Genomic DNA, 17,466 nt, shown 5'->3' with positions numbered 1-17,466 from the left:
TCCCTAAGCCCCGCAGCTTCTGCGCCCGGGAAAGATATCCAAGAGATGCAAAGCTCTACTGGGCCCAGGCTGCCACCCCAGAGGCCCCCTTCCGTCCCGGGGCCGGGGCTAGGCCAAGGCGGGCACCAGGACTGCCCAGCCTCCCGGCCCTTCGCACTGGTAACCGGTTCCGGGGCGGATGCTTTTTGCATCTGACCCGGCGCGCCCGGTGACGCCTTCGCGTCCAGACGGAAGTGCGGGCGGAGGATCCCCAGCCGGGTCCCAAGCCTGTGCCTGAGCCTGAGCCTGAGCCTGAGCCCGAGCCGGGAGCCGGTCGCGGGGGCTCCGGGCTGTGGGACCGCTGGGCCCCCAGCGATGGCGACCCTGTGGGGAGGCCTTCTTCGGCTTGGCTCCTTGCTCAGCCTGTCGTGCCTGGCGCTTTCCGTGCTGCTGCTGGCGCAGCTGTCAGACGCCGCCAAGGTGAGTCCCGCCCAGCCTCGCTCCTGACGGAAGCTCCTCCCCTACCACCGGCCTTGCGGAAACTGGGTCTGCCAACCTGCTCCTTGGCCCATTCCTGACAGCCATACGCCTGGCCTCACAGCTCCGGCAGACCCCCGCCGCCACCAGCCCCGCCCCTCCCGACTGCCCGGCGGCACTCTCGCCCTCAGCCCCGACAGCCTGGCAGGCAGCGCCCCACGGTCGTCCCCAGCCCCGACAGTGCCCACAGTCCGGACAGCAGCCCCCCACCGCCTTAACATTTCCCTTCCCAGCCCCGGCTGCACGCATCTTACACTTGACAACCTTTTCACCTCCGAGAGCCTTTAACTTTCCACCCTAAGCTCTTGACAGCCCACCTGCGCCCTCCGCCAGCCTCACAGGCCCCGCATGCCCCAAGCCAGAATGATAGGAAGCCCCCATCTGACAGAGCCTTCCCTGTCAAGGGCCGACTCAGCTCAGCTCACCCCTGAACACTTCCCTTCCTGTGGTGGGAACTTGCCCCTCCTGGCCTACTTCCCTCCCAATAGGGCCTACGGAGCATCTCTCACCTGCTTCATATTCTCACCTAACTCCCTCCACGAGTCCCTTGGTGCCTTTCTTGCTTTCTCTCTTCCTGATAATTTAGTGGGTAAGGGAAGAACCAAACTGCAAGAGAGGTGAGGTTGTGGCCTCCCTGGTTCGATTTCTTGACCTTCTAGTTCCCTCATACTGTTCTCTGGTGCCCCAGCTCTCCAGACCTGCCCTAGCTCCATGCATACCTGTGCTTCCTCTTTGATGAGCTAGCTCATCATTGGGGGAGAACAGAAGGGATTCACATTAGTATGATGGGAAAACAGAATGACATTGCGTTTTTAAAAATAAGAGCTTTAATTTATAATATCTTTAAATGTAGGAGTGGGGAAAGGTTACAGGCAGGCAAATGTTTTTGATTCAGAGATTCTTTTTGAAACCATCTCTACCTCCTACCAGAAACAGGGACAGCAGCACGTCTCCTGACTTTGAAAACATTGCTGGCACCCTCTGCATATCTTGCCTCATAACTTTATGTATTGTGATCATGTATTTATTTTTCAGTCTCCTTTACTAGGGTGTGTCCTGGTTATGGGCAGAAACCATGTCTTATGCTTATCTGAATCCACCTTATTGAGCACAAGATCTAACACAGAGCAAATGCTCACTAAGTGGTTGCTGAATACGTTTGTGAATTGTCAATAGCTCTGCCAGACATATCACTGTATATAGGAGGAGTGGGCAAGGTCCTCTGGGGAATGATAAGCCACTTCCTTCTCAAACAGATTCCCCTTTGCTGAGGAAGCATCTCTTCTTTTCTCTATCCAGATACTTAGTCACCTGTTCCTCCACCTCTTGAAACTTGTTTTGTTGGTAGTTGTTCTGTCTGTCAACCAGGAATTAGAAGCAAAGTTTCCTGGGAAGAGTATACTAAACTGATCTCAGAGTCAGGCTACTTCCTGTGTGTACTTCCTTTCTAGTTGTAGGTGGGTGCCTCTAACATTTCATCCCTTCTACGGGACTCTGGCCCAACCCGTTTTATCAATGTCAGTGCCTTCTACCAGAGGGTGAAAGGATGATAGGTAGAATTGTGACCTTTTTTGTGAATAATTTTTAGTTTCTTTCCCATCCTTTAGTAATGAATATTCTTATTTACAGGCACAACTATCTGCTTACCATGTGTCTTTCTAGTGGCAGATAGATGGTAATAACATTAACATAATTTGATTGTCATGTGACCCATAAATATGGTTAATAAGTCTTAGATCATGTATTAGGTATTATTTCAAAATAACTACATGTAATATATAATGATTCATTGGCATTACCATAAAGGACTGTGGCTTTTAAAAACTGTGTCTGTTAAAGTTTTAAATGAATGATTTTAGAATACTTGGTATTCTAAAGAGGATGCTTGGCAAAATGTATATGGTACAGTTTTTAAAAATATTGATGATAAACTGTCAACGCACTATACTGTTTCCATTTTGGTTACAGAATTTCGAGGATGTCAGATGTAAATGTATCTGCCCTCCCTATAAAGAAAATTCTGGGCATATTTATAATAAGAACATATCTCAGAAAGATTGGTAAGTATCTGGATTACTGAATTACCTGTCACATTTGTTTCTGTGGTTGTCAGTGTTATCCCAGAATGTTCATCAAATGCATAGTTTTCTTTTTAAGTATTTCATTTGAAGCAAAAATGTGAAATTCTACTTCCATTTGAAAAAGTGAGAGTGAGGCCCTACGTGCATGATGCCTGCAGGCCTAAAGGTATACAGCCAAAACACTAAGACCCATGTAGGCAGAGTTTCATGGGAGCATATGACTGGGTTTGTGGCACCTAAACTACCCATAGCTATCTTGCTGTACTCCCTCAAGTTTTGGTGAGGGACCTTTCTCCCTCTTGCTTTTCAGTGGAAGGTTAGCAAGCCTCGTTTGTCTGGGTTATAATTTTTACAACTTGTAGGTTTTGATGATGTATTGCCAAGTATGGGAAGCTATGTTTAAAAGTGTCAGAAGGCTCAAGAAGAAGTGGAAATGAGCTATGTAGTCAGAGTTTCCCATTTGGTGTAAATGAAGAAGTTACAGTTGTGCCAAGATATTGACCTGTTCAGTCCTTGGGCAGTCAGGCAGGCCTGTGATGACTGGGGGATCCTGACTGACTAGCCACCAGCAGCCTTCTCTGCTTATCCCAGCAGACCTGACAAATAGCTTTTTCTACGTGTGCCATGAAGCAGTTGGGATGCAGTTGTATTACAGCAGGATGAATGTGTTCCTTCCCATAGAATTGTGATGTTTTATGGTTTGTAACCACGGTGGAAGATGGATGGGATAGGAATTTAGGAAAAATAGTTCCAAATGGTAGGAGCTTTCACGTGTATCTGATTTCATAGCTAAATAGCCATCAAAGAGTTAGAAAGCAAGATTAAATTCATTCAGTTAACAGTATTCCAACCTGACTTTAAAAAAGAAAAGGCAGCCTTTGAGTATGTTTAGTTTCTCTGATGCCACTGTCTGTTCTTCCCTGATACGCATTTAGGTTCAGTCTCATATTTGTTAAGTGTGTTCTTGAGAACTTCTTGTGAACCTCTATGTTCCACTGTAAGTGGTGTCATATTAACCAAGCGATTTGGCCATATTCTTAAAGGTTTTATATCAGGAAGTTACTTTATATGATACAAGAATGTTCAGGCCGGGCACGGTGGCTCACGCCTGTAATCCCAGCACTCTGGGAGGCTGAGGCAGGCGGATCACCTGAGGTCAGGAGTTCGAGACCAGCCTGGCCAACAGAGTGAAACCCTGTCTCTACTAAAAATACAAAAAAAATTAGCCGGGCTTGGTGGCGGGTGCCTGTAATCCCAGCCACTCGGGAGGCCGAGGCAGGAGAATCGCTTGAACCCGGGAGGCAGAGCTTGCAGTGAGCCGAGATCGCGCCACTGCACTCCAGCCTGGGTGACAGAGCGAGACCCTAGCTCAAAAAAAAAAAAAAAGAATGTTCAAATAAATCTTTATGTTACTTCTATAAATTTTCCAAATTTATTCAGTGCTTACAGTTTATTCTGTTATCAGTAATGAAATGCAATGCCTGTCTTTTGAGTAGCAAATGAACTCACTATTCAAGTGGTTAGCACTAATCTTTTCACTAACTTTTCATTATTTCAGACTCAGACAGGACCATATGTCATTAACCCCTGGTTATTAGTAAAAATAGCTTTGGCTTTGAAAACAGTTGAGGCAGGACATGGTGGCTCACACCTGTAATCCCAGCACTTTGGGAGGCCAAGGCAGGTGGATCACTTGAGGCCAGGAGTTCAAGAACAGCCTGGCCAACATGGTGAAACCCCGACTCTACTAAAAATATAAAAATTAGCTGGGCATGGTGGCACACGCCTGTAATTCCAGCTACTCGGAAGGCTAAGGTAGAGAATCGCTTGAGCCGCAGAGGTAGAGGTTGCAGTGAGCTGAGATTGTGCCACTGCCCTCTAACCTGGGTGACAGAGCATGACTCTGTCTCAAAAAAAAAAAAAAAAAAAAAACAGAAACAAAGAAAATAAACAGTTGAGAATAAGGCTTGCTTGGGGTTTTTCTTCCCTCTCTCCCACTCTCCCTTGTTTCTTTTCTGCAGCTTAGCATTTTTCTAGGGATAAGTTCCCAGCTGGCACTGAAAAATTTTAACTGACTTTACGGGGCAGGCAAGTTATGATTCACCAGAATTATGGCTTTACGAGGCCTCCAGTATCTGTGAGGGCCTAGATATAGTTTTACCTTTTGTTTTCTGGGCCTTTCATTTTGTCCAGTTTTTATCTTTAAGTCTTCATTGACTTATGCTGGCTGACTTAAAACTTAAGAGTAGTTGGAGTGCTCTAGTTTGTGTTTGGGGTGATTTAAAGCTAATGATGTGTTACTTTTGGCACTAGGGGGAGGTGTTGCCTAGTTCCTTAAGTGGTTAACCTCTGACTAGGTCTAGCTCTGTTTGTAATGACTGGTCAGCCAAAATCAACCTTCCTGCTTTCTCTCCAGCTGGGCACAACTTTTGCACAGCACTCAAGTATCTTTTTGTTATTAAAATATATCCTTCAAAAGAAATACTCAATACTTACTTAGCACTTAAAATTCCCAAGTCATTCTTAGGTATTGTTGCCAAAGCTTCTGAAGCTGAAGTAGGAAACTAAATAGATCAGTTTCATTTTCCCGAGGTTCAGAGGTAAAGAACTGACGTAGGAAGCAGGAGTCCTGGATTCTGGTCCTTTCTGTTTTTTTTATTGCTAGAGTGCAGTGGCACGATCATAGCTCATTGCAGCCTTGATCTCCTAGGCTCCAGTGGTCCTCCAGCCTCAGCCTCCTGTGTAGCTGGGACTACAGGTGTGTACCATCAACCTGGCTAATTTTTATTTTTGTCGACACTGGGTCTCACTATGTTGCCCAGGCTGGTCTCAAGTTGGCTTCAAGTGATCCTCACATGTTGGCCTCCTAAAACTCTGGGATTATAGGGATAAGCCACCATGCGTGGCCTGATCCTTTTTCAAATATGATTTTACTCTGTGACCTTCTCTAAGCCTGAGGCTAGATGAGCTCTCTGATCCTCAGATAGATAACACCTGTTATGGGATATAGTTCCCTCTGCCCATTTTGTGCCTGCATCCAGTTGGGTACATGCCTGGTCTTCTGTATATTTGGAACAGATATCACACACTTTTATGGTGAGAGTTGTGGGGCCTTACCCGTATTTGAAATACCATCAGTGGAAATTTAATTTTTCATTACTACCTTTGTTAAAATTAAATTACCTGTTAAGAATAACCTGGGCCGGGTGCGGTGACTCATGCCTGTAATGCCAGCACTTTGGGAGGCCGAGGCAGGCACATCACCTGAAGTTGGGAGTTTGAGACCAGCCTGACCAACATGGAAAAACCCCATCTCTACTAAAAATACAAAATTAGTCGGGCATGGTAGCGCATGCCTGTAATCCCAGCTACTAGGGAGGCTGAGGCAGGAGAATCACTTGAACCCTGGAGGAAGAGGTTGTGTTGAGGAAGATCACACCATTGCACTCCAGCCTGGGCAACAAGAGTGAAACTCTGTCTCAAAAAAAAAAAAAAAGAATAACCTAACAACTTCTATCATATACCGTTTTGGTTATTTTTTCTAATGCCACAGTTTAGAGGGAACAGAACATGAAAATATGAATTTCTAGAAATTAACTTTTTTTTTTTTGAGACAGAGTCTCACTCTGTTGCCCAGGCTGAGTGCAATGGCGCGATCTCGGCTCACTACAACCTCTGCCTCCCAGGTTCAAGTGATTCTCCTGCCTCAGCCTCCTGAGTAGCTGGGATTACAGGCATGTGCCACCATGCCCAGATAATTTTTTGTATTTTTAGTAGAAATGGGGTTTCACCCTGTTGGTCAGGCAGGTCTTGAACTCCTGACCTCATGATCCAACCGCCTCGGCCTCCCAAAGTGCTGAGATTACAGGCGTGAGCCACCACACCCGGCCTTTTTTTTTTTTTTTTTTTTTGAGACGGAGTTTCGCTGTCATTGCCCAGGCTGGAGTGCAATGGCACGATCTCGGCTGACCGTAACCTCCACCTCCCAGGTTCAAGCGATTCTCAAGTCTCAGCCTCCTGAGTAGCTGGGATTACAGGCATGCACCACCATGCCTGGCTAATTTTTTTGTATTTTTAGTAGAGACGGGGTTTCTCCATGTTGGTCAGGCTGGTCTCGAACTCCCAACCTCAGGTGATCTTCCCGCCTCGGCCTCCCAAAGTGCTGGGATTACAGGCATGAGCCACTGCGCCCGGCTGAAATTAATTTTTAATTGACACAATAACTGTACGTATTTATGGGATACATAGTGATGTTTCAATTCATATAAGATATAGTGATTTGATCAGAATATTTAGCATCTCAGACATTTATCATTTCTTTGTGTTGAAAATATTCAAAATCCTCCTTCTAGCTATTTGAAACTATAATATATATTATTGTTGACTATAGTCATCCTACAGGGATATAGAACACTAGAACTTATTCCTCCCACCAAGCTGTAACTTTGTTTCCAAAAAGTACATTTTGGTGGGGAAAGAGAAGGAATCACTCTATAGAGTATTGGGTGTCCCCAAGAGAATGGGTAAGATAAGATAGGATGGTGTAGTAGAGTGCTTGAGGCAGCCAGGAATGCCTAACGAAGAGATGCCAAAAGGAAAGAAAATTGTCCAACAGCTGGCAGGAGGACAGGAAAGCTTTCCCTAATTTTGCTGAAGGTGATCAGAGTCATAGACTCTTAATAGTTGAGGAGAATAATAATTTAGTTATTGCTTAGAATTGACAGATTTCTAGGAAAAATCTGATAGCACTGTGTTTACACAAACCATAAATAATTAGCCTTGAAAATGGGGTTGGGGAAATAAGTAACATTCAACAAAAACACTCATCCCTTTGTTAGTTTTTATTTAGTTCTTTGGAATAACCAGTTTTTGTTTTAAAATATTTTAGTTATTCTATTTCTCCTTGCTTTTTCAGATTTGCTCATTAAGAAAAGTGATTGTTTCTTCCTGTGTGTGGCTTTGAGGGTTCAATTTTCAGAGTTTCAGAATTTACCACGCTGTTAAACGTGGTTAGTCATTCATACACCACACTGGCAGTTAAGAATGATGTTGGCTGGGCACGGTGGCTCACACCTGTAATCCCGGCACTTTAGGAGGCCAAGATAGGAGGATCACTTGAGGCCAGGTATTCAAGACAAGTTAGGTCAACAAACCAAGACCTGATCTCTACAACAAATCTAAAAATTAGCCAGGCATGGTGGCAGGCTCCTGTAATCATAGCTGCTCTGGAGGTTGAGGCAGGAGGATCACTTGAGCCCAGGAGTCTGAGGCTGCAGTGAGCTATGATGGCACCACTCCACTACAGCCCATGTGACAGAGCAAGACCTTGTCTCTTAAAAAACAACAACAAAAAAGAATGATGTTAATTCACAAAAGAGATAATCTTATATTTGAACAGTGCCCCATATCACTTTAAACCATTTTAAGTAGTTTTCCTTAGTAACTGAACAAGTCTAAAGGTGACTTGATTTGTTAAGTAGTTTTTCATCCCATTTGGGATTTTTTGTGTGCGTTTTTGTAACTGTTAACAGTAGCAGCTTTGAAAATAGACACTACTATATGTGTGACTTTGTGGCTTCTTAAATGGTTAAAACTTACCAAAATGCTAATATTGAGAGCAGAAATTATTTTACTTTATCTTATTGATTATTTGTTTTTTATGCTCTTTCATTGGGTAAGTTTAGTGATTATTCTAGATTTCAGGAAACTTTTGGTCAGAGCAAGCAGAAGAGCTAGCTGGGCTTAAGCAGCATTTTATCTTTGTTTTTTCAGTGATTGCCTTCATGTTGTGGAGCCCATGCCTGTGCGGGGGCCTGATGTAGAAGCATACTGTCTACGCTGTGAATGCAAATATGAAGAAAGAAGCTCTGTCACAATCAAGGTAAAATATATATCCCTCTATCTACCTGTCTGTCTGTCTGTCTACGTCTTTTCTGCTTCTGGATGGTTTCTAGACAAGACAGAAAAATTTGGACCCCTACCCCAAAAGGAATAATGGGCCTGTTCTGCCTGCCTCACTGACATGGTTTGTGGATTAGTTAGGGTATGTTAGATAGATATGTGAAATGGCACAAAAATGCCCTATGTGTAATTAGCATATTCCAGAAAGATATCCCAGCTTCTGTGTAGGCCATGTGTGCCAGAGGCTGAGAGAGCAGCATTTATAAGCCCTCCTCTCCTTGCCTTTCCAGCCCTTTGAAAAAATTAAATATATAGTAATTATTCTAGAACTATTACTTCTGGATTTTAAGATTTCCCCTCTTCATTTCCTGTAGGACAGTGGTCCCCAGCCCCCAGGCCACAGCCCAGTCTGTGGTCTGTTAGGAACTGGGCCACTCAGCAGGAGGTGAGCAGTGGGCAAGTGAGCAAAGCTTCATCTTATTTACAGCTGCTCCCCATCATTCGCATTACCACCTGAGCTCCACCTCCTGTCAGATGAGCAGCAGCATTAGATTCTCATAGGAGCATGAACTCTATTGTGGACTGCACATGTGAGGGATCTAGGCTGCATGCTCCTTATGAGAATGAGAATCTAATGCCTGATGATCTGTCACTGACTCCCATCACCCCCATATGGGACCGTCTAGTTGCAGGAAAACAAGCTCAGGGCTCCCACTGATTCTATGTTATGGTGAACTGTATAATTATTTCATTATATATTATAATGTAATAATAATAGAAATAAAGTGCACAATAAATGTAATGTGCTAGAATCATACCCAAACCATCCCCTACCACCCCTGGTCCATGAAAAAATTGTCTTCCATGAAACTGGTCCCGTCCCTGGTGCCAAAAAGGTTGTGGAGTATTGCTGTAGTAAATGGGATGTAGATCACTCTCATCACCATTTGTATTTCTAATGAGTTCAGTTACTTTATTATAGTGGCTAATGGTTTTTCTTCCAATTTTTTTTTTTTTTTGAGATGGAGTCTTGCTCTATTGCCCAGGCTGGAGTGCAGTGGTGTAATCTTGGCTCACTGCAACCTCCGCCTCCTGGGTCCAAGCGATTCTCCTGCCTCAGCCTCCTGAGTAGCTGGGATTACAGGCATGCACCACCACGCCCAGCTAATTTTTGTATTTTTAGTAGAGACAGGATTTCACCATGTTGGTCAGGCTGGTCTCGAACTCCTGACCTCGTGGTCCACCCATCTTGGCCTCCCAAAGTGCTGGGATTGCAGGTGTGAGCCACCGCGCCTGGCCTAATTTTTTTTTACATGGCACTTCCCATTCCTTTCCCCCCAAAAGGCCCTGTGGGGAATGTGGGGTGGTTAGTTATAATAGTCACAAACATTTCTGCTGTGATTGACCCTGTGGAAGAGCTCTTGCTCCAGCAGGGTGCTGAACTTTAGATAAATCCTCACTGTACTATTATTTAACAGATTTGTAAAAAATATACAACTTATGTACCCTAAAAGTCACTCACTATAAGTATACAATTCTATAAATTTTAGTAGATTTAAAACATTTTAAAATCCAGTTTCAGGCCAGGCATGGTGGCTCACATCTATAATCCCAGCACTTTGGAAGTCCGAGGCGGGTGGATCACTTGAGGTCAGGAGTTCGAGACCAGCCTGTCCAACGTGGTGAAACCCCATCTCTACTAAAAATATAAAAATTAGCCAGGTGTGGTGGCACGCACCTGTAGTCCCAGCTACTTGGGAGGCTACGGCATGAGAATCACTTGATCCTGGAGGCAGAGGTTGCAGTGAGCTGAGATCGTGCCACTGCACTCCAGTGAGACTCTGTCTCAAAAAAAAAAAAATAAAATCCAGTTTCAGAACATTCCCACTACCCCAAAAAGATCCCTCATGCCCATTTACAGTTAATTCCCATTTCCAGCCCTACTCGGTCACTAGTCTACTTTCTGTCTCTGCATACATGGACATTTCATGTATATGGAATCATATAATATATAGTCTTCTGTGACTGGCTTCTTTCATTTAGCACAATGTTTTTGATGTTTATGCAAGTTGTAGCATGTATCAGTACTTCGTTTCTTTTTATTGCTGAATAGTATTTCACTATATGAATATGCATTTATCAGTTGATGGACGTTTGGATTATGTCTGGGTTTTTACTATTATGAATAATACTGTTGTGAATATCTGCACATATGTCTTTGTATGGATATATATGTTTTCCATTCTCTTGGGTTAATTCCTTAGAATGGTAAAATTATGTTTAACTTTTTAAGAGACTGCCAGATTGTTTCCCAAAGTGGTTGTACCACTTTACATTCCCACCACAGCGTATGAGGGCTGTTTCTCCATATCCTTGCTAATACTTGGTATTGTCTATTTATTTTATTGTAGTCCTTCTAGTGGGTGTGTCACACTGTACTTTTTCTCAGTACATGAATTAAGGTCACAAGAAAAAATCACCGGCCTAGAAAATACTTTTGTATATCTAAATTGAGCTAAAGAGTAGCTGAATTTAGGACATTATGTTCAGCTGGGAAAAGAAACAAACTGCTGTGCTAGCAGTGGTGACAGGTGATTAGCAGTAGGTGAAGTTGGAGTCTTGAAGACTTGCAAAAAAATCCCAAAGATCTTTCCTCTTTTTTTCTTAAATAATACTTTGGTGAAGAGTTGAGTTTATTTCTTATATTGCTATCTGGTTTGTATAGAAATCCTATAGGCTTAGCAGATATGTCAGTCAGTTTTACTATTATCATACAAAGTTCTGATTTATGGGCTTGAACAAAGATGTAACTTAATTTTCAATTTCCTTTAGGTTACCATTATAATTTATCTCTCCATTTTGGGCCTTCTACTTCTGTACATGGTATATCTTACTCTGGTTGAGCCCATACTGAAGAGGCGCCTCTTTGGACATGCACAGTTGATACAGAGTGATGATGATATTGGGGTAAGTTCCCAGCCTGCCCTAGCTGCTCATGGCCAGTCCCTGTCATCATTCGATGTGAAGTGCAAGTGAAAAATAGTCATATATAGATGTTCACGTGCTGAAGCAGATCCTCAACTAGAGAAGCTAAAAACAGCTCTGATTTCAGTATATACCTCTTTATGAAGAAATTGCTTGATGAAGCCATAAATGTGATGATTTAAACGATGATCTTTGGTGAGCATGCTATACAGGGCCTTGCTTTCAGTACCAAAGGCACAATTTTATTGCCATTCCCTGTTTACATTGAGAAAAGTATCAGAGATGGTTTTCTCTCCAAGCTCTCCTGCCTGAAACACCTTCTCTGTCAATATCACCAAATATTTTAGAAGGCAGAGAGGTTTTCATCAAGGGAAGTGTGAAGATCATGATGTTCTTTTCTTAATGAAGTACAACTTGATAACCTGCTGATGTTTTATATTTCCTTTTTTTCTACTGCTTAAAAAAAAATCTGTGGGCCAGGTGTGGGGGCATACACCTGTAATCCCAGCACTTTGGGAGGCCAAGGTGGGAGGATCACTTGAGCCCAGGAGTTCAAGACCACCCTGGTCAACATGGTGAGACCCTGTCTCTACAAAAAATAAAAGCATTAGCCGGGTGTGGTGGTGCATGCCTGTGGTCCCAACTATTCAGGAGGCTGAGACAGGAGTGTCACTTGACCCCAGGAGTTTGAGGCTGCAGAACTGTGATCACACCATAGGACTCCAGCCTAAGCAACACAGCAAGAAGCCTGTTTAAAAAAAAAGAAAAAAAAAATCTGAGATCTTTAGAGAAAAATAAAACCATGACTACCATCACTCCAGATTCTCTTCCTGTCTTTAAATCTCTCACACACACACACACACACGTGTGTACATTATATATGTTTATATATATATATATATAGCGTGTGTGTGTGTGTGTGTGTGTGTGTGTGTATATAGTTGGCATAATCTGTATAAATTGCTTCATGGTCTCCTTTTTGTTTTAATATTCGTTTATTCAAAAATGTCCAGAAATTGACTTAGTCCACAAATCTGTTTTTCAGTGTAGCTTAGAGAATGTTTTTTTTGTTTTTTGAGACGGAGTCTCACTCTGTCGCCCATGCTGGAGTGCAGTGGCGTGACTTTGGCTCACTACAACCTCAGCCTCCCAAGTTCAAGCAATTCTCCTGCCTCAGCCTCCCAGGTAGCTGGTTCTACAGGCACCTGCCACCACGCCTGGCTAATTTTTTTTGTATTTTTAGTAGAGACGGAGTTTCACCATTTTGGCCAGGCTGCTCTTGAACTCCTGACCTCAAGTGATCAGCTCGCCTCGGCCTCCCAAAGTGCTGGGATTACAGGTGTGAGCCACTGCGCCTGGCTGGATATTTTTGTTTCATCATTACCCTGTATGAAATTGTTTCTGAATTTTCCTTTTTTTTTTTTTTTGAGACGCAGTCTCGCTCTGTTGCCCCGGCTGGACTGCAGTGGTGCGATCTCAGCGCACTGCAAGCTCCGCCTCCCGGGTTCACGCCATTCTCCTGCCTCAGCCTCCCAAGTAGCTGGAACTACAGGCGCCCGCCATCGCGCCCGGCTAATTTTTCGTATTTTTTTTTTCTAGTAGAGACGGGGTTTCACTGTGTTAGCCAGGATGGTCTCAATCTCCTGACCTCATGATCCCCCTGCCTCGGCCTCCCAAAGTGCTGGGATTACAGGCGTGAGCCACCGCACCCAGCTGAATTTTCCATTCTTTCATTATTATATATAATTATTTTTTTAGAAATTACTTTTTCTCGTGGATTATTATATTGGACTATGTTCCTTAAAATGGGTAAAATTCAGAATAGTTTTAAGGTTCAATTCAAAAGCCAAACCCAGAGTGAGCCCTTGCCAGCCAGTCAAAAGTCCTTTTACCCTGGAATGGCTCGTGCATCTATAGGCATAGACGTTGAAAGTCTTAAACGACATCCTTCCTTTACAGCGTTAAATATCTGTTCCTGATTTCAGAAATAGACAATATAATAACACAAAACATAAGAGAAATGGATGTAGAGATGAAAACATGTAGGGCAGGCATTTAATTGGTGGGATCACATGCTCAGTAATTGTTTTGTCCACCAGTGATTGATTCTGCTTGTGTATTGACTATTTGAGAACACTGTCTCTGTGAGGCCTGGCTGACTCTTGGATGTCTTTTAAACTGATTCTAGGCAGAGAGGTTTTCTGACCAGAGCTGTGAATTTATGGTAACAACTCTACAAAAATAAGTGAATTTTAATTTTTAAAACTGTTGCTTATCCAAGATGTGAGTTCTGCACTATTTATATACTTTAAAAATGTTTTTGTTGAACTATCAGTTTTCATTTTTTCTGTTTTTGTTCAGTGTAGAGCATTTTAAAGCAAATAAAAGTGAGTACAAATAGTTAAGCTCACTGCAAGTAGTCACAATATTTACTATATCATATATCCATGACACATCATCGTTATTACCAAAGCATTACAGTAAAACATGTTTTGTATTTATTGTAATTTTATCAGGTGTGAAAAGAACAAACATAAAAAGGGTAAATCTCTATTTGCATTCCCCCAGCATCTGTGACCATGAGCAGCTAGTTCAATCTCGTTCTGATGGATAGAGAGCAGACCCAAAGGATTAGCTGGTTTGTTTAGTCTTTTGAACTTGTTCCTTAAGAAGATTTTTCTCCCCTACCTTGAAGAATAGATAACAGCACTAGGCAACTGAGAGGTCCTCTGCCGATCAAGTACATCCTTCTTCCCAGTATTGCTTATGTCAAAACAAACCAATGGTGATAATATTTTCCTCCTCTGGTCCTTGACTTCAGGGGATGATATTTTATACACAAATTCACTGAAGCACCATATTCTTATAGTGTCATTTTAATCTACCTGACCAAAATCTGTTTTGAGACAATATAACACCAAGTCAGGGTTAGGCAGGCTAAGTTTTAGTCTTTATGCTAATTTGTTAAATGACCTTGGGTCAATTTATTGCCATAATGGAAAATCAAGCAATTCTATAACTTTAGCCTGCCTCCTTTTTTTTTTTCTTTTTTAGCTTTTTTCTTACATTTTTTAAAACATTTTAAGCCTCATGAAATTGCCTTTATTATTTTCATTTGTAAGGTTAAAAGTTTAAAAATAGGCTATAGGTCCCAGCTACTTGGGACGCTGAGGCAGGAGGATCACTTGAGGCCAGGAGTTCAAGGCTGCAGTGAGCTGTGATCACACCTGTGAATAGCCCCTGCCTTCCAGCCTGGGCAACATGGGTAGACCCTATTTCAAAAAAAAAAAAAAAATTAAGTTCATGGCCAGTCTGGGCAATATAGTGAGACCCCATCTCTTTAAAAAAAAAAAATCCACTTTTTAAATAACTTGAGTTTTAGGATTTGTACAAGCCATTACCTAAATAAAGTGAAAAGTTGAAGGAATTTTGACAAAGAAGAGGAGGAAAGATTCTTTATAAAAACTCTTTGATATCTTTCAAATGTAGACATTGTATAAATGCCTTGCTATAAAAACAAGACCAGGTGTTCTAACTCCTATAATTATAGTTGTATATATAGTTATGTGGTTATGTATATAGCTTTCCATATACATGCAGACTCCTGCCCTGGATATATAATAGAGCTTTTTCAAACATGCACAGCAAAATAATGTTGTTTCTCTCCTAGAGGCAAAGTTTAGTATAAGAGGTACAACTTGTGACTTGGATCTTCTGTTGGAACATTGAGAAGCTTTGCTAACACGGGGTTCAAGAAAAAGAGATCAAGGAAAAGGCAAACAAAAGCAATAAATTACTATTGAATGCTTTTTGTCATTTAGACAGCTGTGTTTATATCTCATTCATAGATAGATTAGCATGGTGGTTTCCTGTGTAATGACTACAAACATCCAGTTGTACTCGTTTACTTTGACCAGGTTAGGTTGGTTTTCTATACAGATACCTGGGCAACCCTTCAATAGCCTCTTTCCCAAGGCAGCAACTTACATGGAAGCCACTGGGTGCTTAACAATGGAAGATTCAATCTTTGTTGAATAGAGAGGGTGATTGTAGCACTTGAGCTGTGTCTCTTTTCATTACACATTGGGGAAGTGGGGAAATGAGGAAGCTTTTGGAAGCTAATCCATTTAGTGTGTGTGTTGAGGGTACAGGGAGAGATTAAAAACAACCCAAGATAAGACTCTGTCGCTCACCCTCCCAGAGTGATGTGGCCCCAAGCTGGCAAGAAAACAATTCTAATGGAGACAGGAAATTAAAAGACAGATCTTTCCTCTGCCACAGATTAGCTTTATAGTATCGAATAAAGCAAGGAAAGACCCTACTTTCCATATCTATAACATGGAGAGATGTTAACATGAAAATAGATTTTCTTTTCCCTATCAGTTAAGGAAGGCTTCTCTTTAACACAAATGACCACTGTCTTTTGCTTGGTCTCCACTTCTTTAAGGGAAATATCTTTGGAAATGGCAATCCATGGGAACGTTTCACAAATACTCTGTCATCGCTTATGTTTCTTGAACCACCTAGGTCTGTACTTGAGTTCATACTCTATCTGGTAGTTGAGCGCTTAGGAGTGCTTAGCTAAATAGATGCTCTGTTGTTTGAAAAGTCCACCTACCCCTATTTCTGTGGCGGGCTGGTCACTGTTGTGTGTCTATGTTTTACACTGACTGTGCCATCTCTAATGTTCTCCATTCCTGGACTTTTAGGATCACCAGCCTTTTGCAAATGCACACGATGTGCTAGCCCGCTCCCGCAGTCGAGCCAACGTGCTGAACAAGGTAGAATATGCACAGCAGCGCTGGAAGCTTCAAGTCCAAGAGCAGCGAAAGTCTGTCTTTGACCGGCATGTTGTCCTCAGCTAATTGGGAATTGAATTCAAGGTGACTAGAAAGAAACAGGCAGACAACTGGAAAGAACTGACTGGGTTTTGCTGGGTTTCATTTTAATACCTTGTTGATTTCACCAACTGTTGCTGGAAGATTCAAAACTGGAAGCAAAAACTTGCTTGATTTTTTTTTCTTGTTAACGTAATAATAGAGACATTTTTAAAAGCACACAGCTCAAAGTCAGCCAATAAGTCTTTTCCTATTTGTGACTTTTACTAATAAAAATAAATCTGCCTGTAAATTATCTTGAAGTCCTTTACCTGGAACAAGCACTCTCTTTTTCACCACATAGTTTTAACTTGACTTTCAAGATAATTTTCAGGGTTTTTGTTGTTGTTGTTTTTTGTTTGTTTGTTTTGGTGGGAGAGGGGAGGGATGCCTGGGAAGTGGTTAACAACTTTTTTCAAGTCACTTTACTAAACAAACTTTTGTAAATAGACCTTACCTTCTATTTTCGAGTTTCATTTATATTTTGCAGTGTAGCCAGCCTCATCAAAGAGCTGACTTACTCATTTGACTTTTGCACTGACTGTATTATCTGGGTATCTGCTGTGTCTGCACTTCATGGTAAACGGGATCTAAAATGCCTGGTGGCTTTTCACAAAAAGCAGATTTTCTTCATGTACTGTGATGTCTGATGCAATGCATCCTAGAACAAACTGGCCATTTGCTAGTTTACTCTAAAGACTAAACATAGTCTTGGTGTGTGTGGTCTTACTCATCTTCTAGTACCTTTAAGGACAAATCCTAAGGACTTGGACACTTGCAATAAAGAAATTTTATTTTAAACCCAAGCCTCCCTGGATTGATAATATATACACATTTGTCAGCATTTCCGGTCGTGGTGAGAGGCAGCTGTTTGAGCTCCAATGTGTGCAGCTTTGAACTAGGGCTGGGGTTGTGGGTGCCTCTTCTGAAAGGTCTAACCATTATTGGATAACTGGCTTTTTTCTTCCTATGTCCTCTTTGGAATGTAACAATAAAAATAATTTTTGAAACATCCATCAGTGTATCTATCTATGTCTCCTAGTTTTTTCCTCCTCCCTCTTTTGCTGTATAATGAGATTGAAGATATAAAGACATTTTGTACCCTG

The 17,466-nt window shown here is 42.2% G+C and overlaps 1 protein-coding gene across 3 annotated transcripts in view, besides 2 other annotated features; it reads left to right on the top strand.

Moving 5' to 3' along the window:
* TMEM9B (TMEM9 domain family member B) overlaps positions 1-17,466 on the top strand; it is a 17,746-nt gene extending 280 nt beyond the window's left edge. The window contains exons 1-5 of one of the 3 annotated variants that reach the window (NM_020644.3): positions 226-459; positions 2,485-2,576; positions 8,370-8,478; positions 11,331-11,465; positions 16,193-17,466. In NM_020644.3, the coding sequence (NP_065695.1) occupies positions 355-459; positions 2,485-2,576; positions 8,370-8,478; positions 11,331-11,465; positions 16,193-16,348 (597 nt within the window). In that variant the 5' untranslated portion in view covers positions 226-354 and the 3' untranslated portion in view covers positions 16,349-17,466. Of the gene's footprint in view, positions 1-225; positions 460-2,484; positions 2,577-8,369; positions 8,479-11,330; positions 11,466-16,192 lie in introns of those variants that run through there. The other 2 variants (NM_001286095.2, NM_001286094.2) reach the window with 2 other exon arrangements.
* Positions 33-532: a silencer, noted in NCBI's record as "silent region_3118". NCBI's record gives its function as "represses an Ori minimal core promoter by ATAC-STARR-seq in GM12878 lymphoblastoid cells {active_cell/tissue: GM12878}" and the evidence as "EXISTENCE:reporter gene assay evidence [ECO:0000049][PMID:35858748]".
* Positions 573-762: a silencer, noted in NCBI's record as "silent region_3117". NCBI's record gives its function as "represses an Ori minimal core promoter by ATAC-STARR-seq in GM12878 lymphoblastoid cells {active_cell/tissue: GM12878}" and the evidence as "EXISTENCE:reporter gene assay evidence [ECO:0000049][PMID:35858748]".

Source organism: Homo sapiens, chromosome 11 (genome assembly GCF_000001405.40).
Source record: "Homo sapiens chromosome 11, GRCh38.p14 Primary Assembly".
Lineage (NCBI taxonomy): Eukaryota > Metazoa > Chordata > Mammalia > Primates > Hominidae > Homo > Homo sapiens.
The sequence above is the reverse complement of the archived record's forward strand: the minus strand, read 5'-3'. Positions and strand labels throughout refer to the sequence as shown.